This window comes from Homo sapiens, chromosome 13, assembly GCF_000001405.40.
Source record: "Homo sapiens chromosome 13, GRCh38.p14 Primary Assembly".
Classification (NCBI taxonomy): Eukaryota; Metazoa; Chordata; class Mammalia; order Primates; family Hominidae; genus Homo; species Homo sapiens.
In genome coordinates, this window is record NC_000013.11 from 36803925 (window position 1) to 36829698 (window position 25774).

The 25774-nt window shown below is 40.1% G+C and overlaps 1 protein-coding gene, 1 long non-coding RNA gene and 1 pseudogene across 2 annotated transcripts, besides 4 other annotated features; 1 reads left to right on the top strand and 2 right to left on the bottom strand.

The window, feature by feature from the left end:
• Positions 274-1378, bottom strand: NDE1P2 (nudE neurodevelopment protein 1 pseudogene 2; annotated as a pseudogene).
• On the bottom strand, positions 11747-15147 carry LOC124903158 (uncharacterized). The gene is made up of 2 exons (XR_007063760.1): positions 14243-15147; positions 11747-12217 (listed from the first exon to the last, which is right to left on the bottom strand). It is a non-coding gene; the product is annotated as an uncharacterized LOC124903158 (long non-coding RNA).
• Positions 15216-15585: a silencer, noted in NCBI's record as "silent region_5267". NCBI's record gives its function as "represses an Ori minimal core promoter by ATAC-STARR-seq in GM12878 lymphoblastoid cells {active_cell/tissue: GM12878}" and the evidence as "EXISTENCE:reporter gene assay evidence [ECO:0000049][PMID:35858748]".
• Positions 15298-25180, top strand: RFXAP (regulatory factor X associated protein). Its single transcript, NM_000538.4, has 3 exons — positions 15298-16033; positions 21504-21611; positions 23719-25180. Exons 1-3 carry the CDS (start codon positions 15434-15436, stop codon positions 23827-23829), a joined length of 819 nt encoding a protein of 272 aa, NP_000529.1. The 5' UTR covers positions 15298-15433; the 3' UTR covers positions 23830-25180.
• Positions 15816-15865: an enhancer, noted in NCBI's record as "active region_7589". NCBI's record gives its function as "activates an Ori minimal core promoter by ATAC-STARR-seq in GM12878 lymphoblastoid cells {active_cell/tissue: GM12878}" and the evidence as "EXISTENCE:reporter gene assay evidence [ECO:0000049][PMID:35858748]".
• Positions 15876-16105: an enhancer, noted in NCBI's record as "active region_7590". NCBI's record gives its function as "activates an Ori minimal core promoter by ATAC-STARR-seq in GM12878 lymphoblastoid cells {active_cell/tissue: GM12878}" and the evidence as "EXISTENCE:reporter gene assay evidence [ECO:0000049][PMID:35858748]".
• Positions 18162-18376: a silencer, noted in NCBI's record as "fragment chr13:37396223-37396437 (GRCh37/hg19 assembly coordinates)". NCBI's record gives its function as "represses an EF-1alpha promoter that drives an FKBP-Casp9 reporter gene in an ReSE screen in HepG2 liver carcinoma cells {active_cell/tissue: HepG2}" and the evidence as "EXISTENCE:reporter gene assay evidence [ECO:0000049][PMID:32094911]".

Consider the following 25774-nt stretch of genomic DNA (forward strand, 5'->3'; position numbering starts at 1 on the left):
ATACTCTTCAAGAGGATAAACACCAAAGGCCATGGAGGATAGCCACCAAAAATTGGCTTGGCCCACAAATCATAGAACTAATGATGGTGACATCTTACTGTTATTTTGCTCACATTAATTGAAAAAGACTAGTGTGAGAAGAGGAAATAAGTAATGATGCAAAACAAGCAGCATCTATACTCTACCCTCCGATGACCACAATAATGGTGAACAAATATTTAAATGTAGTTTCCTTAATTTTAGCCATCTACTAGCCCTTTGTCATCTAAAAGTACACTAGTGCTGCTTAGCTCTGTGTCTCTGTCCTCTCTGTCCTTGCCACCCCCCAGGGAGTCTGTGGCATTTGCTTAGCTCAGGAACTGAGCCTACACAAATATTCAAAAGGATGTCAGCTTGTTTCCCACTGCCCTACTTTTTGCAGCAAGTTCCCTTTAATTTTGAAGGCAGACTATTTGGTTCACAGAATGAAAAGATTTCCAATACCTCACAAGATCATGTGAGTTGTATTTGTGTTTTTGTTATTTATTTATTTATTTATTTGGAGACAGGGTCTGGCTCTCTCACCCAGTCTGGAATGCAGTGGCATAATCTCAGTTCACCACAGCCTTGACCTCCTTGGGCTCAAATGATCTTCCCACCTCAGCCTGGGACTACAGGTGTGTGCTACCACACCCAGCTTATTTTTTGTTGATTTTTTTGTAGGGATGAGGTTGCCCAGGCTGGTCTTGAACTCCTGAGCTCAAGTGATCTGACCGCCTTGGCCTCCCAAAGTGTTGAGATTACAGGCATGAGCCACCACACCCAGCACGAGGTGTGTTTGGATTGGAACCGGATCCATGGATGGCGTGAAGTCAGTGTCCATCCTCCTGGCTTGGATATTGCAGGACCAGTTCTTTTCTGACGCTGGACAGATTCCAGGAGCCTCGCCTTATGTTTAATTAAGTTTGCTCTCCAGGAAGACATTTCTTTTGATGGCTTGATTCAGTGCTTCTCTGTCTCCCAAAGTAATGATCATGGCATTTATGCTCTTTCCAAAGCATAACTTGTTTGTACTCTGTTCCCTGACAGATTTCTGTAATTGATCTTTAATCACTTTAGCCTATGCTAGACCATCCTCTAATGCTCAGATCTCTGGGGAGCCTTTAGAATGTTGCATTGTGAATTTTCTTTGGCCATGTATACCTCCATATAGAGTCTGGTACTTTTAGTCAGAAGGTTCCTGTTCCCAGTTGAATTTGTTCTAGCTGTTTTTCTAATCCAACTTTGTATTCCTATCTTTCCCCCTATTCACTGCATTCTGCTTATATGTTATAGCAGATCTCTCTAAAAGGTAGAGTCTTCTTCTGAGATGAAGTCCGTCTTCCTGAATTCCTCCAACACGTAAACTAGTGAGGAAATTAGTCTTCTTGTGGTATGGTTTCCAGGCTCAGCAGGTGAGGACTCTCATTGACAGCAATAAGGAACCTAAAACATTTTTTTGTATACTGCTATTACATGGAAATTCAGTATTATCCCAAACTATTACCTTCCTGCTTTAGTGCATATCATGAACAATTGACTGCATAGATACCATGATAATAGTGATAGTAACATAAACTGAAGAGATTGGGAACATGGTTGTGGGGGTACACATTGATATACCACCTCGACTGATGGTAGGGTAACTTAGCAATCGAGGTACCTTAGCATTAGAGCTCTTCTGCAAGAAAAATGGCAAGGATGAATGAGAAAACAACAGTATATTATGAAAAAAGTTGAAGATCTAAGTGGCCCAAACCATGACTACACAAATTATAACAATAACTACTTTTCTTCCTGTTGTCTCATAGTTCTGAGTAAGTCCCCAAGGAAGAGAACACCAGCTCCCAGGGCACCAGTGTGGTCCCAAACTGGTTCTGTACTCTGAAACTCATTCCCCCTCTTCAGCCCACATCTTCATCTAAGAGAAGCTGAGAGTGGCAAAACCAAATAAAATGCAAAGAGAGGATTTCTTCTAGGAGAGTGGCAAGTGAACTGTGTGTTTCCTTTGTCAAAAAACAAAATCTCAACAAATTCAATTTAAAATTTAATTGGATTTTATTAGCAATTCATGAATCAAGCAGCACCCCATCTTGGACAAGATTTGGACAGGCGTTCTGCTGGACATGGAAAAACAGTCCGTTTTTTAAAGGTAGCTTGAGCAGGAACAAGGAAATAGTATAATACAAAAAAGCAGATTGGTTAGTGTCAGATTACTTTTGTTGTAAGGGTTAGAGCAGAGGGGACTTCCTTATTATATGGGCTAAAACTGGGCTGATCAGAGATTTGGCTATCATCTCTTTCCTGATTTCTCAGAAGGTCAGATTAAACAACCTATTTTCAGTTTGGGGATGTGAAACTTGAGCATGAGTGACTGCATTCTGGTTTGGTCTGCAGGAACCTGGTGCAGGAGCTCAGTCTAAATCAATGGACTCTCATAAATTTAACACCCTTCTTCCTTTCAAGATAAATGAGTAGGACTTAGAAAAAATATTATAGAGAAATCGCACACACATACCGTATAGTTTGCAGGGTAACAAGGAATGTTGCCTGAATCTTTCTAAAATACATCTAAAAGCAAGGGACTAGCTAAAGCTGTCTTGATAAAAAATGTAAAAGGCTAGGGACACCAGTAGCTATAGGAGCCAGCTTCTCTTTTATCTCTGGTAGGGCAAGATGGTTGGGTTTAGTTATCCCAAAAGGACTTTGTCCAGGAGGACCACATGTGGCAGTATGGCGATCCACCAGCAGAAAGATGCTAAGTAATGGGTATCACTTAAATCAGGGGAACAGAAGTCATAGAAGCCCCCAGAAAGGAAGCCATCATTAGGACATCTGTCACATGAAAATCCCCAACTGCAGATTCCAGTAACACCCACCATCTACGATTCGCTCTTCAACTTTAGCTCTCCCCATCCCTGTGCCTTAATTGAAGGAGTCAAAAATAGCAACATAGCCAGGTGTGGTGGTGGCATGCACCTGTAATCCCAGCTACTCAGGAGGCTGAGGCAGGAGAATCACTTGAACCTGGGAGGTGGAGTTTGCAGTGAGCCGAGATCGTGCCATTGCACTCTGGCCTGGACAACAAGAGCAAAACTCTGTCTCAAAAAGAAAAAAAAAATCACAAAAGTAAATAGGGGAGAAAGCGGAGGACAGGAGAATGAAGAAACTGGGCATGCTGTCTGCCTACCACCCCATTAGTTAATTTTCAGACTTGAATTATAAAGGAGAGAAGCTCCAAAGTACATGAAAAAAAAATGAAGTTTGATATTATTGTTTTCCAAGGCTTTTTGTAGCCTGAAAATGAGATTGCTTATTAATTCATGAAATTGAATAGAGAAACTAAGGGATCGTCCCAAAACATACTGCAGAGTTGGGAAAGAAAAAGCAGACACATCAGGTCTGAAGAAAGTGGTAGAAGAAAATAGTTATTTCCTAAATCCTACCAATTCAGCTCATTCAATAAACTGATTGCCCTGCCATTACCCTTAATTGAGCCCTTTTTAAGTGCTGGCATATTGTCTCATTTAATACTGTAGAGGGGAAAAGTAACTTCTTTTCCTCATCCATCACAAGCGTCCTGGCTAATACTCCTACAACAAAAGACAGATTAATGAGAGAAAAGCTTAACAAATTTATTTAACAAAAGTTTTACTTGAAACGAGAGCCTTCAGAAATAAACACTCAAAGAAATAGAGAAAACTGTTTTCATGCCTAGGTTTGATAAAGAGTGGATAGTCATATGAAAGTATAATTGGACAAAGGGGATATGATCTAGCAGTAATAAACTGGGGGAACTTAGCAAGGCCTGTTTGTTCAGACTCTTCTCAGCATCACTATGTCTTCATTCCTTTCCTCTGAGTTTAGGGCAGGACACCTGTCACATGAGGTTCTTATGACCTACTTTCAGGAGAGGTATGTCAAAGAATTCTTTTACAGCCAGCTCTCACACATGAAGATAGGAGAAGGTCAGACAGTGGCCTCCAAGTTTCCATATTTGGGGTAGCGTGTCCTGGACCCCATCAATAATAACGGCAAATCTATAAGGTAGGCCAGTTCTCACAGTCTCTTGCTAATTTAGGGATAAGATTCCCTTGGGGCTTATTAAAAATAAACGCTGAGGCCGGGCATGGTGGCTCATGCCTGTAATCCCAGAACTTTGGGAGACCAAGGCAGGCAGATTGCCTGAGCTCAAGAGTTCGAGACCAGCCTGGGCAACCTGGTGAAACCCCATCTCCACTAAAAATACAAAAACTAGCTGGGCATGGTGGCCTGCGCCTGTAATCCCAGCTACTCGGGAGGCTGAGCCAGGAGAATCACTTGAACCTGGAAGACAGAGGTTGCAGTGAGCTGAGATTGTGCTATTGCACTCCAGCCTTGGAGTGCAATAAAAAAAAAGTTAGCTGGGGATGATAGCGTGTGCCTGTGGTCCCAGGTACTTCGGAGGCTGAGGTACAGGATCACTTGAGCCCTAGAGGTCAAGGCTGCATTGAGCTGAGATTGCGCCACTGCACTCCAGCCTGGGCAACAGAGATAGACCCTGTCTCAAAAAAAAAAAAAGAAAGAAAGACAGAAAAAAGAAAAAAAGAAAATTATTCTAGTCATCGAATGTGTAAAATTATAAGGAGAAGATTTGTTTCTCATCAATGCTTACTCAAAAAGAAGTCTTCTTCTGTTAGGAATATAGCACATACAATAAAAATATGTAAATACACAATGTACCATGTATTTCTTTCCTTTTTTGATGGAAATTGTGCCAAATAGAATTTACCAGAATGTTTGTGCTTTTAAACACAAATGTAGCAGTACACAAGCCGGAAGTACATCTGTAGGTGAATTGCTGTTTTATGTATTATATAATTAGGCATCTTTCCCTGTCTCCCTGTTCTATATCTCTGCCCTTTGAGATCTTCTCAGAGTCCCTTGATGAAGGTATAAAGGCAAGAGTGGTCTAAAATATAGTTAGGGCACTGGTCTTCCCAGATTGCAATGGCCCAGAACAAATACTACTTCATATATTGGGCTACGAAAGTCATCATCTTTACTCTGTCATTAGAAGCCTTTTTTGCCTAATTAGAAATGGACCTTTGATAAAGTAACCTACTCACATTTCTGTAAATCTCCCATCGTTGGAAAAATTAATGTTGCTATAAACTGATGGGGTTTAATGCCTCATTACAGTTCATCTTAGTCAAAACAAGAGCATCTTAATAAATAAGCAACTTAGTTAAACCAACAATTTAACAAGTTTTTTTTTAAATACCACCCCTGGCCGGGCACAGTGGCTTATGCCTGTAATCCTAGCACTTTGGGAGGCTGAGGCAGGTGGACCACGAGGTCAGTAGTTCGAGACCAGCCTGGCCAGCATGGCGAAACCCCATCTCTACTAATAATACAAAAATTAGCTGGGTGTGGTGGCGGGCACCTGTAATTCAGCTACTTGGGAGGCTGAGGCAGAAGAATCGCTTGAATCCAGGAGGCAGAGTTTGTAGTGAGCCGAGATTGCACCATTGCACTCAAGCCTGGGCAACAAGAGTGCCCATCTCAAAAAAAAAAAAAAAGCTACCCCCCGCCCACCATATCTACATATAGCAAGAAGGATGAGAGCATCACCTATTTCTCATCCAGACTCAGACTTTTGCTGCCATGGCAAATGGATCCAGTTGCCAGCTCTATGTTTATATGTGAATCAGGGACTGCTTCTTATTGCCCTTCCAGTCACACTATTTGTCTGGGACCAGACTTATGTAGATTACTGAAAAATAATTTTTAAAATAAATTTCCCTACTAATGTTCAAATCAGGAGTCAGCTTGGTGTGTGAGTATCTGATAACATCACAATGATTATGAATATATGTCATGTTGCTATGGCTCGGACGTGGTTTGTCCCCACCAAAACTCATGGAAATTTGAGCCCCATTGTGGCAATATTGGATGATGCGGATTAGTGGGAGGTGTTTGGGTCATGGGGGCAGATCCTTCATGAATGGCTTGGTGCCATTCTCAAGGCAGTAAGTTTTTGCTCTGTCGAGACTGGAATAGTTCTCTCAGGAATGGATTAGTTCCCATGAAAGCTGGCTGTTGTAACGTGAGGCTCCTCCTCCTGTTTTGTCCCCTCTTCACACGTGACCACTTTCCCTGTGACCTTCTCCACTATGTTTTGACCTCCACCATGTCTGGCCCTCACCTGAAGCCAAGCAGATGCTGGTGCCATGCTTCTTGTGAGCTAAATAAATCTCTTTCCTTTATAAATTAGCCAGCATCAGGTATTCTATTACAGCATCACAAAACAGACTAACGCACATGTGTTGATAAAAGAACTGTTCTTGTAAAGGAACCACAGAAGGTCATGCTTGGGGATATTTCTGTGCTATCCTGCATTGTATTAACATATGAGCAATACATCTTGTGACATTTGTGTTAGGCCAGATTCAAGAATGATTTGGGATGTAAAAGATAAAAAACATAGGCACTCAGCCTCTGACTGAAGTGAACATAATGAGGCATGACTATCTAAGAATATGTAAGCCCTAAAACTGCTTCACCTTTCACGATGAGATAAATATAAAAGTGTTATGTATCCAACAATTCTTTAGAATCTTCTTTCAAAGGAGGTCATCTCCTGGCTGTTCTAAACAAAATCAGAACAGTATTTCTGAAATTCTGAGCACAGTCTCTTTTTTGTTCATGCATTATCTACAAACTGAGGAATGCAAGAAACATAAATAGAGGCTTAAAAATGAACTCTATGTTCATTTTTATTTTCCTAATATTCTTCCCACTTTCCTGGAAGCAAAAGATGAGTTTTTTTAAAATAAATTTTAATTAAATAAAATAGTGATACATGATATAATGTGTAATACAGATTGTCATAAACAAATTTCTCATATCAGAATTCTTCAATGTGATTCCTATGCTATAATAACAATGGTAAAGTTCTGTTTTGGTGAGAATTGGTACTCTGTGGACACCAAGCTTCATAGGTGATTGGAAAAGGATTGAAGAAAAGGTGATTGGCAAAAGAAAATTAGAATGGTTCTTTTCCTCAGCCCCCAACTCACAGCATAAATTACTTCTCAGGAAAACATGACGCTGTTTTATGGAAATAAGAAAAAAAGAAAAATAAGCTAGAAAAGGGGAAATGGAGTATAGAGTTGGAAATAGAGGAGAAAAGGCATAGCCCTTTGGTTCTAGAAAATAATTCTTAACTTTCATTAAAGTTAAATAAAAATTAACCATATATCATTTTCTTTACTAAAGGCAGAAGGCCAAGTCAGGGTTAAATTACTCGAATGTTGAGAAAGTGGAATTAAAGCAGTAGATTGAAATTGATTGGTCCCTACCAGCCTGCATCCCCCTTTAAGGGAAACTGCAGTGCCACAGCCCCTGTTCTATGTGAAAGGATTCCTCCTCCAATCAATGACTGACTGGATCAAGAATGGGCACCTTACCCAGGTGTAGACCATCCATGGCTTTTCCATGAGCTCCAACCAACCCAGCAATAGGAAGACAAATTAGGCAAAACAAAGTCTTACCATCTGGAGTCTGAAATGGAAACCCTGGAGAAATGGCACCAGTGAGCAGTGAGAATTAAGATGGAAAGGTCCTAAGGAACTGAAGGACATGAATCCCATTCATGGCCACTATATCTTAAAGTCCCAGCAAGAAACAGAAGATATAGATGGTTCAAAGAAAGAGACTTTAACCAAGACTGTTTGCAGAAATGTAAGCAGGGTTAAGAGAACACACAAAGGACGGTAAAGCCATCCAGAACGTAGCAGCAGCAGGAAGCCATTACTACCCGGGTATGAAGGAGCAGGGGGCAGAAATAGGGTTACTGGTGCTCAGCAAGACCTAGTAATGTGGAAGAGTGCCCCTCAGCAGGAGCTGTAGCCTCAGAGGGATATAGAGACTGCCAGAGAGGCAAAGTGGAGGAGAGAAGCAGAGTGCAGGCAGTATCCTCATCTCTCACTTTCCCCTTGCTCTGGTGGCCCACTTAATGAGTTAGTCAAACCCAGTCGGAATCCAGAGACCATGGGAATTCTGGTATGGTTCAGTCCAGCCTGCCTCCACCCCTAGCACAGAAAAGAACAGGGGACAGCAAGCAAAGTACATCTACAGGTCAAACAGAGACCAACCAGAAAGCCATGTGCAAGCCCAAGTTATGAAGGATCTGAAGAAAGCTGGTAGACAAAGGAAAACTGTCCAGAAAAAAGTAGGTGACCTGAGAGAAAGAGAGCTGGGGAGAGCAGCTGGTCCCTAGACCTGCCTCAATTCTGATGCCATTCTGTTCTAGTTCTGTCCACTCACTGCAATGCCCCACCCTGACCCCCAGAGCTTGAGGCCCCTTTAATAGGCCTTGCTTCCTTGTCATGAAAAATAAGCCAGATTATCAAAAAAGAATAAGCACTTTTTCATCTCACTGTTTCCCACTTAAAGAGACTACTCCTGGCAGGGCGCTGTGGCTCACGCCTGTAATCACTCCAGGACTTTGGGAGGCTGAGGTGAGTGGATCATGAGGTCAAGAGATCGAGCCCATCCTGGCCAACACAGTGAAACTCCGTGTCTACTAAAAATACAAAGATTAGTTGGGCATGGTGGCGTGCACCAGCTACTCAGGAGGCTGAAGCAGGAGAATCGCTTGAACCCAGGAGGCAGAGGTTGCAGTGAGCCGAGATCGCGCCACTGCACTCCAGCCTGGTGAGAGAGTGATATTCCGTCTCAAAAAAAAAGAGAGAGAGAGAGAAAGACTACTCCTTTGGTAATTGATAAGCACCATTTTCAAAAACACAAAAGAAGGAATGTGCATGGCTATAGGGAAATAGGAGGATTAGTAAGGAAATAAATAGAGGAGATGAGGAAGCCCATGCAGAATTTACACAATGCCTTGTCTTTCCAGTAAGTCTTTAAAGAGTAAACGGATGGAATCTAAATGAAATAATGGCAATAGTAATAATGCTAAAATTTTGCTTTGACAATAATCTGAGTTCCTACCACTTAAAAAATACCATATGTGCAAAATCTTACTGGTTGATGACAAATACACTATGTTTACGAATTCCTGAGCTAGGATATCTGTTTGTACATCTAAGTATACTAGATTACTTCTTAGTATGTTATAGATAATTCAGTGATTCTCAACCCTGATTGCATATTAGAATTACCTGGAGAGCTTTTTAATAATATGGATGCCTTGGCCCCTCGCCAGACCAATTGAATCAAAATCCCAAGTGACAGGCGCATAAAAGGTCATTACAGTATATTACATTCTAAACTTAGGAAAGAGCTTACAGATCATTTAGACCAACTTCATCATTAAGGAGGTTCAGGAAAGGCCACCCCAAGTTACCTTGTTATACTGACTACTTTGAAGTGAGAGCACTTGGGAGGCATTGGGTGCAGACAGAGGCATTCTCAGAACATCTCTTATCTCCCTAAAGACAGATCCTCCAGAAGGAACTCCAATCCCATCACTGGGGGATTTATCAACTAGGAAGATTAACTCTTATCACAGGAGAGGAAGACTAGAAGTCAGTACCATACCCAGACAACATTTGTAACAAACTGTCATCTATTCTTCTAAGAGCCCATTCATTTTTCCCAGAAATTATTTACTCTCCCCTGAGTTACCTACATCCCCACTTCGCTCTGCCCTGTGAAGAAGGTATATAAGCTTCTAGATCTCACTGGATTTGGGGGTATTCACTTTTCTGTTATGCGCCTGTGCAAGTAACAAATGTGTATACCTTTTCTCCTGTTTATCTGCCTGCGGTCAGCTTATTTCCTAGACTGTTTATCAAACCCTCAGAGGGTATAGGGGAAGTCTTAAGCTCAGAGATTCCTGGCCCCTGCCTGATCAGTTTCACTGACACTTAGGAACAAAGCCAGGCTTAGAACCCGAAAGTCCTGCATTCACTCAAGCTCCTTCCCTTAACCTGACTCTTTTGTTAATAGTCATTCAGAAAATACTTTTGAGACCTATTGTGTGCTAAGCACTAGATAATAAAATCTATTGCCATTATTTGTGATAGCCAAAACCATAAAACAATCCAAATGTCCATGGTCTGGTAGATGGATAAACAATACAATGAAATAATATTCAGCAATAAAAAGGAACAAACTACTGATATAAGAAACAAAGTAAATGAATTTCAAAAACATTATGCTAAATAAAAGAAGCCAGGTGCAAAAGACCATATATTACATGATTACACTGATATGAAACTGTTACAGTAGGTACTTAGTCAGACGTGAACAAGGCAGGAGAGTGTCCCCCTTAGGAGGGCAACCATCAGAAGATCATGGTCAGGCAGTGGTTAAACTGCTTCTCTAAAGTAATAATTTGTCGCAGCCCGCGCCAGGGAAAGGCAGTCTCCCTATAGATAGAAACACCTAAAATTGGTGATCAGCAGCTTCCCAATAAGATCTCAGGAGTTGGCCAAGTGGCTCAAGCATGCACACTAAGAGACAAAATGGCAGAGTTTAAGTGGTATATGACCTTCCTCTAGAAACACTCAACTGGTAAGGGAAGAATGCCTCAAGTGAACATGTGCACAGTTTTGGTAAACACACTGCACATGCGGCCCCTACCAAGCGCTGGCAGGCCACTGTGCATGCGGACAGCCCACCCCAAGGGAAGAATCAGGGGAGAAGGGACACAACTCCCTGGAAGCATGCCAACAGATAAAACCCCAAGTCAAAGTCAAACCACGCACTAGATCTCTCAAGTCACCCGCTTGGCCTTCTTCCAAGTGTACTTCACTTCCTTTCTTTCCTGCTCTAAGGCATTTAAATGAACTTTCACTCCCGCTCAAAAACTTGGCTCAGTCTCTCACTCTGCCTTAGGCCCCTCGGTCAAATTCTTTCTTGTAAGGAGGTAAGAATTGAGGTCACTGCAGACCGGTACGGATTCATTGCTCCTAACAAAATGTCTAGAAAAGGCAAATCTATGGAGACAAAGATTAGTGGATTCCTGGGGCTGGAAGTAGGAGCAGGGATTGACTGAGAATGGATAATAAGGGTCTTTTGTGGAGAGATGGAAATGTTCTAAAACCTTTTTGTAAAAATGATTGCAACTCTACAAATTTACTAAAAATCTTTAAATTGTATACTTACAATAAGTGGACTTTATGGTGTGTAAATTTGTCTTAGTTCATCTTCTGTCACTGTAATAGAATACCACACACTGGGTAATTTACAAAGAACAGAAGTTTATGTGGCTCACAGTTCAAGTGGCTGAAAAGTCCAAGAGCACAGCTCTGGCATCTGATCAGGGTAATACCAAAGTTGAAGGGCAGAGGGCAGAAGCAAGCATAGACAGAGTATATGACACTGAATTTATCTGTTTATCAGGAGCCCACTCCTGTGATAACTAAGCCATAACGGCATTAATCCATTCATGAGGGCTAACCACCTCTTAAAGGCCCCACTTACTAATACTGTTAACAATGGCAATTGTTTCCAACACATTAACTTTTGAGGGACATGTTCAAACCGCAGCAAAATCATACCTCAAAAAAAAGTAGGTTTATTTTTTAAGCTTACTGCCACTTATTGAACACCATAACAGGTATTTGTACTAAGATTTAAATAATACTGCTCCGAGTAATATGCTGGTAAAAAAAATTTTTAACCAGTTAACTGATGGCTGGAAATGAAACAAAACTTTTCTCCCACCTGCTTAGGTTTCTTGCCTGGGAGCTTGTAAATTAAACTCACAAAAGATAGATTAGTAAAAGAAAAGGGTTTATTTACAAGAACTACATGTACATAGGAGGGCTCAGAGATGAGTTACTGAAATGGATGGTTAGAATTTGAGGCTTATATACCTAAATTAGTAAGGAAAGGGAAGACGGAGTAAATGTTCCTATGGGATGAACAAATAGGTTCCTTTAGGAAAAACAAATGTGGTTTTAGGAGAACAAATGAGCAATAAGGCATTTTGTGATAATATATGTTTATGTAGGTTTTCTGAACTCATGGTCATGGGGTATTTATGGTAGATTTACTCTTGGTCTCTCTCCTGGTAGTAGCTTTCCTCAAGAGGGAATTTATGATGGTCTTCATTTATCAGAAGTTTCAGCTTCTAGTCAGATAAAGGAAGCTCTGAGAAGGCTTCTTTCTGTATCAATTGAATCTCAAGTGTCTTCAGCTTAAAATAATCTTTATGCCAATTCTGGGGTTCTGGGTGTGTCACTACCTGAGATAAAGAATATTAGCACGTGATTCACAAACATTGATAAAATATACAATACTCAATACTGTAAATTCTATACATCCATAACTTCAAGGTGACTTGACTTCTTATGAAAATCACTATCAGTTTTTATGAATTCACCAACAACAGTGTCCCAAATTCAAAATAAGAATAAATGCAGCCAGACGAGGTGGCTCACGCCTGTAATCCCAGCACTTTGGGAGGCTGAAGTGGGCAGATCGCTTGAGGTCAGGAGTTCGAGACCAGCCTGGCCAACACGGTGAAACCCCGTCTCTACTAAAAATTCAAAAATTAGCCGGGCGTGGTGGCGGGTGCCTGTAATCCCAGCTACTCAGGAGGCTGAGGCAGGAGAATCACTTGAACCCAGGAGGCAGAGGTTGCAGTCAGCCAAGACCATGTCACTGCATTCCAGCCTGGGCAACAAGAGTGAAACTCTGTCTCCAAAAAAAAAAAAAAAAAGAATAAATGCTTGACTATTCACAATAGCAAAGACATGGAAGCAACCTAAATGCCCATCAATGGTAGACTAAATAAAGAAAATATGATACATATACACCATGAAATACTATGCAGCCACAAAAAGGAATGATACCATGTCCTTCACAGCGACATGGATGGAGTTGGAAGCCATTAACCTCAGCAAACTAACACAGAAACAGAAAACCAAACGCCACATCTTCTCACTGATAAGTGAGAGCTGAACGATAAAAACACATGGACACAATGGGGAACAACACACACTGGGGCCTGTTAAAGGTGGGTGTGGGGGAGGGAGAGCATCAGGAAGAATAGCTGATGAATGCTGGGCTTAATACCTAGGTGATGGGATGATCTGTGCAGTGAACTACTATGGCACGTGTTTATCTATCTACCAAACCTGCACATCCTGCACATGTATCCCTGAGCTTAAAATAAAAGTCGAAGAAAAAAAGTAACATTATTTATGAATAAAGTTATATTTTTTCATTTAAAAAAAGGAATAAATGCTTGGTTTCTGTCCAATTCAGTAAAGAAGTAAAGTGTACTTTTTGTTCTTTTTCTTTTTTTTGATGATGGCAAGGACATAAAGTTTTGACATGAATGTTGATAGACATTTTTGTTTATATTGAGAAAAAACAAAAGTGAAACAATGAAGATGTATATAAGGTCTTCACTTGTTCAATGATGTGATGTAAGCAGTTTCTTTGCTGAATTGCATGATAGTTTTCAAATACTGAAAGAATATTTTCTCAGTTGGGGGGGTTGGATATTCACAATGTGAGAGCTGCAGATAGAATACATTTTCAGTTTAATCTTTTTCTTTTTCTTTTTTTCTTTTTTGATGGAGTCTCACTCTGTTGCCCAGGCTGGAGTGCAGTGGCACAGTCTTGGCTTACTGCAATCTCTTCCTCCTGGGTTCGAGCGATTCTCATGCCTCAGCCTCCTGAGTAGCTGGGATTATAGGTGTGGACCACCACACCTGGCTGATTTTTGTATTTTTAGTAGAGACGGGGTTTCATCATGTTGGTCAGGCTGGTCTCGAACTCGTGACCTCGTGATCCACCTGCCTGAGCCTCCCAAAGCGCTGGGATTACAGGTGGGAGCCACTGAGCCTGGCCTTAAATTTAATCTTCATTAACATTTTCACTGTCACTTTCTTAAGTGCAGAGACAATCAGCAATAAGTGTAAACCTGCTTCGTAGCATTTGATCATTTCCCTGGTGTAAATACTCCAAAAGTGGCTGATTTCAAGCAATCAACATGACATACTGAAGGCAGAGTTGGGAAAATGTGCAGTAACACACCACTAAATAATATTTCCGCATACAGATACAATAGACATAAATAACCTTAAAAGCACAGATAATGATAAAACATAATAAAATAATTAGAAAATGAAGAGTTTTGAGATTTGTACCCTTTGTTTTTAATATAATCTTATTGTAAGTTTATGTAGTAAGACTTTTAATAATAGCAGTGTTTAATTTTTCTGCTAATTATATTCCTGAAATTTTAGCAACCAGTTACCATCAGTTGGCGCTAGCACACCACCGACTGCAGGCTTTACTGATGAGGAAACTGAGGCTCGGAGAGGCTGTCACGAACTTGCTGTAGTCACACAGGAAGTACTACCTAGGTTGCTCTAATTCCAAACCTTCTCCCTTCCATATGCCTCTCTTTAAAACATAACTGATCTACCTATATGTCAGCACCCAAACATCTTAGTGTGAATGGATTTATAGTTTGTTGAATAAAGTCATTGCTTTCCGGTAGGTGGGATGGGAAATCTGACTAGGCGAAAGAATAGGATGAAGGGAAAAAGAACATCTACTTAACAGTTCAGGATACGGCAGGATATTTTCTCTCCTGGGATTTGGGCAAGCCAAGATTTAACAACCAGCAATTGCCCAGCAACTGATAGAACTGGTAGAACATTCATTGTTTTTTTAAACGTTTGCCATTCAGTATTCCTTTTCACACATTTTCACTGTGTTAAACGAAAACGTTAAGACTTATCTCAGCAGCCACAGCAAAGAGCAAGTACTAACAATCAAGTGAGTTTCCAGGAGAAAAAAAACAAAGTTATCCCTCAATGCAAATACAACTCGGCCAAAGGTGTGGCCCATCCCTCTCCGCTCCACTATTTTCAAATAAGCCACCTCTGCCTTCATGGACTGCGAGCTAGTGACTCTAGGCTGTGACACCACTGCATCCCAGCTTCAAATCTCCCCTTGCAGGCAGTTTGTGGGGGAAATAATAAAATTAGCATCCTAACACTACAAGTCGTGAGACCGCTCAGGAACAATCCTAATTTGCATACTGGAACTCCTGTAGAAGATACTTTGAACCGCTTTAGATACAATAGGATCAGGTAAAACGGCGCTGCCTTGCCAGCCACTGCAGGTTTTCACCTGACACAGCCCCCAGACCCTGTCTACGAATCCCCCAGCTGGCCGAAGGGGCCGCGGCCGCACATGCGCAGTCAGTCCCGTTGGTTGTGCGCTCAGCCCCGCCCCCAGAGGCGCCGCGCTCCCTGACAGCCCGCGGGCGTACACACGCTGACGCGCAGGCTGCGGTCGCGCAGGCGCAGTCGGGGCGCCTTCCCGGTATAGGCGCCTTTTACCCCAGCGTGTCCTGAGTCTTTGGTTCGCGAAGTGCCGTTAGGCCAAGCAGGTGCTAAAAGCCCGGGGTCGTGGACCCCGGCCAGGTCTTAGCAGCATGGAGGCGCAGGGTGTAGCGGAGGGCGCGGGGCCGGGCGCCGCCAGCGGCGTGCCCCACCCCGCGGCCCTAGCCCCGGCTGCGGCTCCCACCTTGGCGCCAGCCTCGGTGGCGGCCGCGGCCTCTCAATTCACCCTGCTAGTGATGCAACCCTGTGCTGGGCAGGACGAGGCTGCGGCCCCCGGGGGCAGCGTTGGGGCGGGCAAGCCCGTTAGGTACCTGTGCGAAGGGGCCGGGGATGGCGAAGAGGAGGCTGGGGAGGACGAGGCGGACCTGTTAGACACTTCGGACCCTCCGGGGGGAGGCGAGAGCGCGGCTAGTTTGGAGGATCTAGAGGACGAGGAGACTCACTCGGGGGGCGAGGGCAGCAGCGGGGGCGCCCGGAGGCGGGGCAGCGGTGGGGGCAGCATGAGCAAGACCTGCACCTACGAAGGCTGCAGCGAGACCACGAGCCAGGTGGCCAAGCAGCGCAAACCGTGGATGTGCAAGAAACACCGCAACAAGATGTACAAGGACAAGTATAAAAAGAAGAAGAGCGACCAGGCCCTGAACTGCGGTGGGACTGCCTCGACTGGCAGCGCGGGAAACGTCAAACTCGAGGTATCAGACTTAGCTGAGGCCTGGGGATGGGAGGTGGAAGAAGAAACCCGATCTTAACGCAAACCGCATCTGCAGGGCCTGCCTCCCCACTTCCAAATGGGCCGGTTTGCAGTGACTGGGTTAGTGGTTGAGAATTAGAGTGTTTGCCCTAAATTAAAGTTTATACCAACATGTGCAAAGCAATAACAGTTCTGTTGAACTCATGATAGGTGCAGAAATTTCAGTAAAAATAATGTGACATCGGCAGAGCTGTCATAGATCTGGGATATGGCTGGAAGGACATAGAGTAAATGATCGGTCTGGTTCATCGCTAAAGGAGACTTAGGAACCTAGATGAAGTTGGTACTTCTGAGAAAGTCATCTCTTTCTGTTTTCACTACTCTATTCTCAGTATCCAGTTCTCAGTACCCAGTTCTCAGTACCTCTATTTGTAATACTCCTGTATTTAGTACTTTGTTTTTAGTGTCCTGTTCTGTTAACCCTCTTCCTAGTACCGTATTTTTAGTACTGCTATACTCAGTTGCCTGTCTGTAGTACCCCTGTACGTAGTACTCTTTTCTTACAACTCTGTTCCCAGTACCCCTATGTTTAGTCCCTTGTTCTCATGTTCTCACTACCCCAATACTTAATATACTTTGTTCTCAGTATCCTTGTTGTTAGTACCCTGTTCTCACTACCCCTTTTCTTAGTACCCCTGAGGGGGGAAAAAAAGGATGATAATGGGGTATAAGTCTCAAAAAACTTTTGGATTGTTTGATTTGAACTGAGTCAAAGGTAAAACCAGTGTTCTGGAGTTCGACTTCTGGGTGCAAATCCCTGTTGCATCATTTACTGGCCTTGTGGCTTGAATAGGTTATTAAACTCTGTAAAATGGGCATTAAAATCGTGTGTCATTCATAGTGTTGCTGTGAATATGTGAGCCATTCCATATTGAGGGTTCACACAGTGTCCAGCAACTGGCTAAAGTTTGCAAACCTTACCCATTATTATTGTCATTGTTAGTGGTATACTTTGAGGCTGTCACAAATAAGCAGATATTTCTTCTTGTGAGAGCTATATAATCCCTTAGTGTAGAGAAAAATTTAATTTTGTTACAAGTGATCCAAGCCAGGTATGGTGGCAAGTGCCTGTATACCCAGCTGTACTTGGGAGGGTGAAGTGGGAAGATTGCTTGAGACCAGGGGTTCGAGGCTGCCGTGAGCCTTGTTTGCATCACTGCATTCCAGCCTGGATGACATAGCAAGACCCTGTCTCCTTAAAAAAAAAAAAAAAAAAAAAAAAAAAATTTTTTTTAACTGCAAGCTGTCTTAGGGTCCTAGGATGTATTCTAAGTCTTTAAATTTCTTAGTTTCAGGCTGAACTTGAAGTGCTCCATCACTAAAATATTAGACCTTGTAATTGTTTACAAATGTAATGTTCTAGGCCAGGCTCAGTGGCTAATACCTGTAAGCCCAGAACTTGGGGAGGCCTAGGAGGGAGGATCGCTTGAGCCCGGAAGTTTGAGACCAGCCTGGGTAACATAGGGAGACCCCATCTCAACAAAAAAATTTTAAAAATTAGCCAGGTATGTTGGCACATGCCTGTGGTCCTAGCTACTCGGGAGGCTGAGGTGGAAGGATCATTGAGCCCAGGAGATTGAGGCTGCAGTGAGCCATGGTTGTGCTACTTCACTCCAGCCTGGGTGACAGAGCAAGACTTTGTCTCAAAAACAAAAAGTATAATATTCTAAATATTTCTAAAATTTGCAGTTGCCAGTGTGTCATACTTAATTCACACTGGTTAGGACTGAGTGACTTCTCTTTCCCTTAAGTTTTACTCTTTTGGAGTAAGAGGACTTCTTTGAGGGTCTGGTGACTTAATGAAGACTCTTCCTAGAAAAATCCACTATGTAACTTTAATTTTGCATACTAATTAATGGGCTCAGGACTTCTGTAATCTTAGTTTAAAAACCCCCTCAATCCATATTCTTATAGTATGTTTTACCAAATCTCTGATTACGGGGATTTAGGGAAATAAGCATCTGGAAAAGAATGAAAGTTAGTAAAGGTGATCAAGTTTCTTCCTCAGTATGTTCCACAGGTGCCCATTCACTTCAGAATTCTTTAGAGAGGGAGAAAAATAATACTTTTTTTCTTTCTTTTTTTTTTTTGAGACAGAGTCTTACTCTGTGTCGCTCAGGCTGGAGTGCAGTGGTGCGATCTCGGCCCACTACAACCTCCACCTCCTGGGTTCAAGCAGTTCTTGTGCCTCAGCCTCCTGAGTAGCTGGGATTACAGGCATGCACCACCACGCCCGGCTAATTTTTGTATTTTTAGTAGAGACGCGGTTTTGCCATGTTGGCCAGTCTGGTCTCGAACTCCTGATCCTCCCACCTCAGCCTCCTGAAGTGCTGGGATTACGGGTGAGACCCACCACGCCGGCCTAATAATACTTATTTTCAAGAAAGAAGTAGTTAACCTATGGCTGCTTACTTTTTTTTTTTTAAACTACCTAACATTTACATCTACAGTGAGGAAAATGTATAAAAGGCAGATAGATACTGAATTAGCGTCTCCCTCTGCACCTCCCACAAAAAGAACCTTATTACTATTTTGTTATTTATTTACTTATCTAATTTTTTAGAGATGGGTCTCACAGTGTTGCCCAGGCTGGCCTCGAATTCCTGGGCTCAAGTGATCCTCCTGCCTCAGCCTTCAGAGTAACTGGGATTATTTCACCACTGCACCTAGCTTCACTATTTTAAAATAATTTGCATGACTTTTTATGGAAGGGAATTAATTGCTATAAGCAACAAATAATACTAATAGTTTACTATCCAGTTTGTCTTATATTTTGGGATACTTTATCAGTTCTGAGGAGGTAACAAGATCTGTAAATCTTTATCTTTGTTAAACTGAGTGTAAAGAAAATAACAGTGCCAGCCAGGATATAATAAGAGCCAACTGTATAGTCCGGTTTTAGTAGTTCAGAGGAGGATAGATCATTGTAGGCTGAGATACTCCAGAAAGGCTTTGCAGAGGAAACGTGACTCAGTATAAACCAGAAAGGATGGGCAATAGTTTACGCTTAATGAGCTGAGTTTCTTATGTGTCAAGCACTGTGTTAAGCTATAAATGGAGTCTCACAACCCTTCAGCAATGGGATAGATACTATATTTTACATACATGGAAACTGAGGCACAGAGAGGCTAAAGAATTTGGCCTAGGTCATACAGCCAGCAAGTATTGTACTCAAACGCAAGCAGTCTTATTCTAGAGCTTTCACTTTTACCTCCTTACTATACTGCTTCCCTAGAATTCTGGTAGATAAAAGGAAAGAGAAGCACATTTTAGTAAAGAAAGAGAAGTAGGAATACAGAAAACACTTTTGTGAAGATAGCAAGTGGACTATTCTAGCTAAAATAGTTGAGTGGAAAATTCATGAGAGAGAAATTTGGAAAGATAGGTTGAAGCCAGTTTTTTATAGTATTGAATGCCAGGCTATGGGATTTGGATTTGGAGTCTTTAAATGAAATGATCTAATTAGGAAGTAGCAGAGGATCCTACCCTGATGGAGTGGGTTAAAGTTGAGAGCCTATAGATTTTGAGACTCTTTCGAAGATTATTATAGTAGGACTGACAGGTGATGATGGTGTCTTCTGCTATGTTGTGAGCAGCAAGATTAGAAATTAAGTTCTCTATTCCAATGAAGAATTTATTAAGGTAAAAAAATTAAAGAAATTAAGGTATCTAAAATTAATATTTCTTACACAAGTCAAGGTTAAATGAGGAACAAATGTGTATAATGTCTACTCCACCAATCTAAGAACTATGCTATATGAGAGACACATAAAGGGACTAGGGATAAATGAATTGACCTCTGCTGGTGGGATTGTTCTTATTAAATATCTAAAAAGCTATCATTTAAGAGAAGCAGTAGACTTATATGGCATGATTCTGAGGTAACTAGGACTCTTAGGCATAAATCACAAGGAGTATGTATTTCAGCTCAGCTTAAGTAAAGCTACCTAACATTCTACCGAAATGTTAGAGCTATTCAAAACCAAATGAAATGTGGCAAAAGTTGGTAAACTCTGTAGGACAAAAAGCATTGCAGGTTTTTGAAAAAGAATTCCAACATCTGTACAAGTTTGGACTAGATGACTAAAGGTTATTTTCACTACAAGCTTCTTTATCTAATTCAGTATCTAATATTTTGTGAATTAACCTTTTGAATTTCCATAGTGGGGTTGTGAGGGCAGAGGGTACTGTACCATCAAGTCAATTTCAGCATTCCATTATCTTGCACATAAAAATGAAAGAATCTCATAAATAAAATCAACTTGGGGGTTGCTGGAGGAGGAAGAAATTATTTTTGTTTCCTCTGGGTATTAGAATTTTCTTTTTACAGTTTTTATATGTTGAGGCCTAAAATGTTTAGGGGTGAAATATTTTTGTAATATCAGGTTGGTAAACTTCTCATAATGAAAGAAATTAAGGGGATATTCTCATAGATAACTCAGAGGCCAGTAGAAAGAAGCCCAAGAGAAAAAACAGCATAGATAATATTCTAAGTAAAGAACAAAGAGGTTAAATTCATGTAAGGTATGGCTTTCCGGTAAAACATTTATAATTTTATATTTGCTACTTTAGTAAGAATTTTGGATGTGGTATTGTGGCATAGTTTTGTAAGAGTCAGAATATTTCAGTCAACTAAACAATATTTTGTTATGCCAGCAAAATTACAAGTATTTAAGATGCTGTCAGGTAACTGGGGGTACATATTTGGTAATAAGTGCTGCTGATTTTGTTTTTGGGCAGTGAAATCTCAGGGTAATGGTATCATTTTAGGACTTACCTGTTTTGTTCATACAGTTGGCAGGAGACTATTTATACTAGTGCTTTTTCAAGCAAGTTTATCTAAATTTTGAAAGCTTTGGTTATCAGTTGCTTCTTTAAACAATATTTTACTACTCCCCCATTTGTTTTGGTTGCCAACTGGGTAAAAAGCTATCAGATATCTTATTGAGCAGTATATAATTTGCCTCTGAGTTCATATATTTCATCCAAAGGCAAGCAGATTATGTTTCGGCCTGGATAGCATTATATAAAGAGAATGGTCAATTCCACTTGGCATTTTTTGTAATATTGAAAATAGCTCACAAGTAACTCTGCCTCAATCTTAGTGGCCCACCTCTCACAGTATTACTATATCACACTCTATCACACACACTATTAATTTTGAGACCTGCCAAGAGACTAAAGAACCCAGGTTGAAAATCTGGGGGGAGAGGGAGCGAGGAGGAATGTTACATTAAATTAACTGCCAATACTTTGCCTATGATAATGAAGAACTTTCCCAGAGTTGCCCAGAGACTGGGCAAGAAGAAGGAAGAAATGCAAAGACCTGTTCATTACATCTTTGAAATACCTGTAATCATGACTTATTACGTTAACTGTTTATCTATTTGCATTTTTATCATTTATCCCAGGAAAGTGCAGATAACATACTCTCCATTGTTAAACAAAGAACAGGATCTTTTGGGGATCGTCCTGCAAGACCTACTCTTTTAGAACAAGTGTTAAATCAAAAAAGACTGGTAAATATCTGTTTGTAAATCAGTTATAAATGTGTTAACAAACGTTTGTTATAAATGGAACAATTGAGATTTTTGAGATTTTTAGCTCATGACATCACACTATACATCAAAATAAATTCCTAATAAGTCAAAATTTTAAAAAAAGAATCGGAACTTTACCTCAAAAATGTAATGAGATTTTTTTTAGCTTATATAGACAAAATCACAGAGAAAAGATTATAAACTTGACTACATAAAAATGAATGCTATAGTCAAAAATGGTGGCAAATTGCACAATGACCTAGAGCAAAAATATGTACAACAAATATAAAAGACTATGGTTAACGTGTCTGGTATTTTATCACATAAAATATTCCTGGTTGGGCATTGTGGTTCATGCCTGTAATCCTAGCACTTTGGGAGGCCAGGTGGGAGGATCACTTGAGGCTGGGAATTTGAGACCATTCTGGGCAACGTAGCGAGACCCCATCTACAAAAAAATTTAAAAATTAGCCGAGTGTGATGGTATGTAGCTGTAGTCCTGGCTACTCAAGAGGCTGAAACAGGAGGATTGCTTGAGTCCAGGAATTCGAGGCTGCAATGAGCTATGATCATACCACTGTACTCCAGCCTAGGCAACAGAGCACCCTATAAATCATTAAACATGATCAGTTTCCTTACATATATATAAAATATGTTTGCCTCTTTGACAGCTTCAGTCTTAACTGCAAAGAAAGTTTATTACAAAAATTCCTGTAATTTGATGAGGAAAACCTTTGGCTTCAATACATTGCAAAAGATAGAAACAGAAAAAAAAGGCAGAATACCATTAAATGATATGGAAAGGTATTCAATATCAGTAAAAATAAACAAAAAGTGAAAATTATTTAAACGATTACGCACAATGATGCAGTGATGTGGAGACTTTCATGAAATGGACATTCTCAAGTAGTTAATGGCATTATATATTGGTATGGCACTTTCAGAAAGCAGTTGGGCAATATGTACCAGGAGTCATCCCTTTCAACTCAGACATCACATTTAATATGAAGACATTTACAGAATGTAAATCCTAAATATGGATAGAGTTAAACATAAAGGTATTGCCAGGAATATATTTCTCATAAATAGTAAAAAAGGTAGTTGAAACAGCCTAAATGTCCAACAGTGTCATAACAGCTAAGATGATTTTTAAATAAAACTGTTTAATAAATAGAAAATGTACTAAGATATAATACATATAATCTGAAAGTCAGTATTTAATGATAGTATGTTCACTTTATTCAGTTTATCTTTTTGCAGCTTATTGGGGCCAAAGATTTTTTTCTCTATAAATTTATGTAAGTATTTTATTATAAAAACCTATTACAGGAGACTGTGGCAGGATGATTGCTTGAGCCGAGGAGTTCAAGACTGCAGTGAGCTATGCTCACGCCACTGCACTCCAGCGTGGGGAACAGAGTGAGACCCTGTCTCTAATAATAATATGTTAATCATAGTCTGTTATATTTGTTATATTATTACAACTATATTTTAAAGTGATGAGTGTACAAAAAGGTATTGGATGTTTTAGAGCAGTTATATTTTTTCCTGAAATTTTGGTATATACCGATATATATGTACATATATATATATACACACCTATACACACAATTTTTAATTTCTTTATGAAGACTTAGTTGCCTAATGAGAAACTTGACTTCTAGCACTAGTTTGTATGTATGTACAAACTGGCATTTAGCTGCTATTTTCACATGTGGCCCCCTTTCATCTCCATTTTTTTTCTTGCTATAATCCTGGGTCAGTGCTACTTTTAGCTCTTTGTTCTTACATATTTCAAGAGAGTATATTTGCTGGCATATTAGAGAAGGTGTTTCCTTTTTACACAAAGTCACCAATAACAGACTTCACCCGTTATTTTTAGGTTTTAGTATTTTGATGTGTGACATCACATTATTTTTAGTTTGCAGCTTAGTTGCAGTGCATCCGATGTAAAAGTGCTTTTGATTCAGGCATATTCTTGTGAACATATTGTATCATATGTAGGGACACATCAGAGTAATTAGCATGAAAACAGTCTAATGACATAGATTAATGCTATTAATAATTTTTTTCTTTTCTTTCTAAGTCGTTACTAAGAAGTCCAGAAGTAGTGCAATTTTTACAGAAACAGCAACAGCTATTAAATCAGCAAGTTTTGGAGCAAAGACAACAGCAGTTTCCAGGAACATCAATGTGAGGGAACTTACCAAGAACATCTACATGGTTTTTTATCTTATTGTAATAGATGAGCATATTTTTTTACCAGACATAAATGGGGTAATAATCTATGCCTGTAGAACATAAACATTTTCCTGTAAATGTATGTGTGCATTTGGGGATAAGTAAGTATTGCACTTTGTGCATCTAATCTTTCAGATTACTGTGAGTTTGAAGAAGTCAGCTTATCTTTCCAAATAACATTTAATTATAATGTTTTTTAAAAAATATATTCCTCTTCAGTCATTGTTACTGAAGGTAATGAAGCAGTTACTTTCTGTGGAAGTCATAAAGTTAATAGATATTAATCTTGACTCATCTAGCTCAGTGGTTCTCATCAAGGGTCAATTTGATTGTCATAGTGACCTTGAAAACCACTGGCTTTTAGTGAGTGGCCAGGAATGCTAAATGTTCTGCAGTGTCAGGGGTAGTCCCACATACTAAAGATTGTCTCACCCGCAGTGCCAATAACACTCCTAAGAAATGTTGATGGCTATTTTGTGGTGCTAACATGTAGTTGGGGCACCTATAATTGGGTTCTCTTAATAACCTTTCTTTGCAGTTAAGACTGAAGCTGTCAAAGAGGTAAGCACATTTTATATAGACGTAAGGAAAGTGATTATTGTTTAATATCTGTGAATTTAGGATGTGCATCTCTTTTCAGAGGTGTGTTAGTAAAACCTGACGGATTAACTAAGCACACTGGGATGTGTCTCCTACAGTTGGCTTCTCTCTTTGATGTTACCTGTTAGTGCTGATCTCTTAAAGCAGACATTTCTTGTTTGTTGAATTTGTGAACAGTATAGATCTCAGCCCACCAATGCCAAGACAAAATTATTTTTCTTATACTTATTTTTTATTAAACAAAATGAAAAAGATCCTTTTCAAAAAGGTGATCCTGAAAATAAAACTAACACTCCAGTATTTTGTCATTGTTTTTCGCAATTGAGCTATCTGAAAACTGTTATTCCTAAGTAATGTTCAAAAATGATAAGTAATCTGGATACCTTTTTCTTATACTTTCTCCTAGGAAAACTTTAAAACTTTAAAAAGGCAAACCTACCAATAGGAATAACAAATTAAATGTCAAGAGAGTATATCCAATATTAGGATATAAATGTATGTGTCTCAAGTTTAACTCTACAAAAATTTGTTACTTGTTTTTTAAACTCTATATATAAAGTTCGACTTAATCATGGCTGTTCTAAGAAGTACTTATGGAGAGCAAGAACGTTTTTGTTCATTTCTTAATGTGTGTGTTTTTACTTGCATATCTGTTCAAAACACTTTTAACAAAATTAATTCATTAAAGTCCAGTTGTTGACCTTTGAGTTAGCTGATTTCTTTATTCTGTTCTTTAGTTTATTCTTACTAGATGCAGAGGAATTCATCTACTGTCTGTTATTAACTGTTAGTTTATTCTCATACTTACGATGTTGAGAGTTTTTTTGAAGCTTAAGTTACCCTTTATGGTGGAAAACATTAGCTTATGCTTCTTTAGATGGAATAATGGGAAAGGAGGGAAATGGGAAATGGATGGAAATGGGAAAGGAGGGAAAATAATAGCCCAGTGAGAGCTGAATGAAAAGGGACTGAATTTAAATATTTGTAAGAACTTTGTGATGATGAGTAATTGTCAGACGTGGGATAGATAACTGAGAGGCTCAGAATCTTTACCAAGGATATTTTTTAGGATAAGGTAGCTGCCTGTTCATGAATTTGGATAAGAATAGTAGGACAATATTCAACACAATTTAATTTTTGTCTGCCACATTAGACATTTTTTTACCTTATAAAATGATCAATAAAGCAATAAGGTTTATTTTGGGTAGATGTATTGCAGTGTGTCTCCAGTTTTTTATCCTTGTGTTTACTCATGCCATTTGCCGTGTGACTTTGCTGCTCATCCTACCCATTGAGCTTGA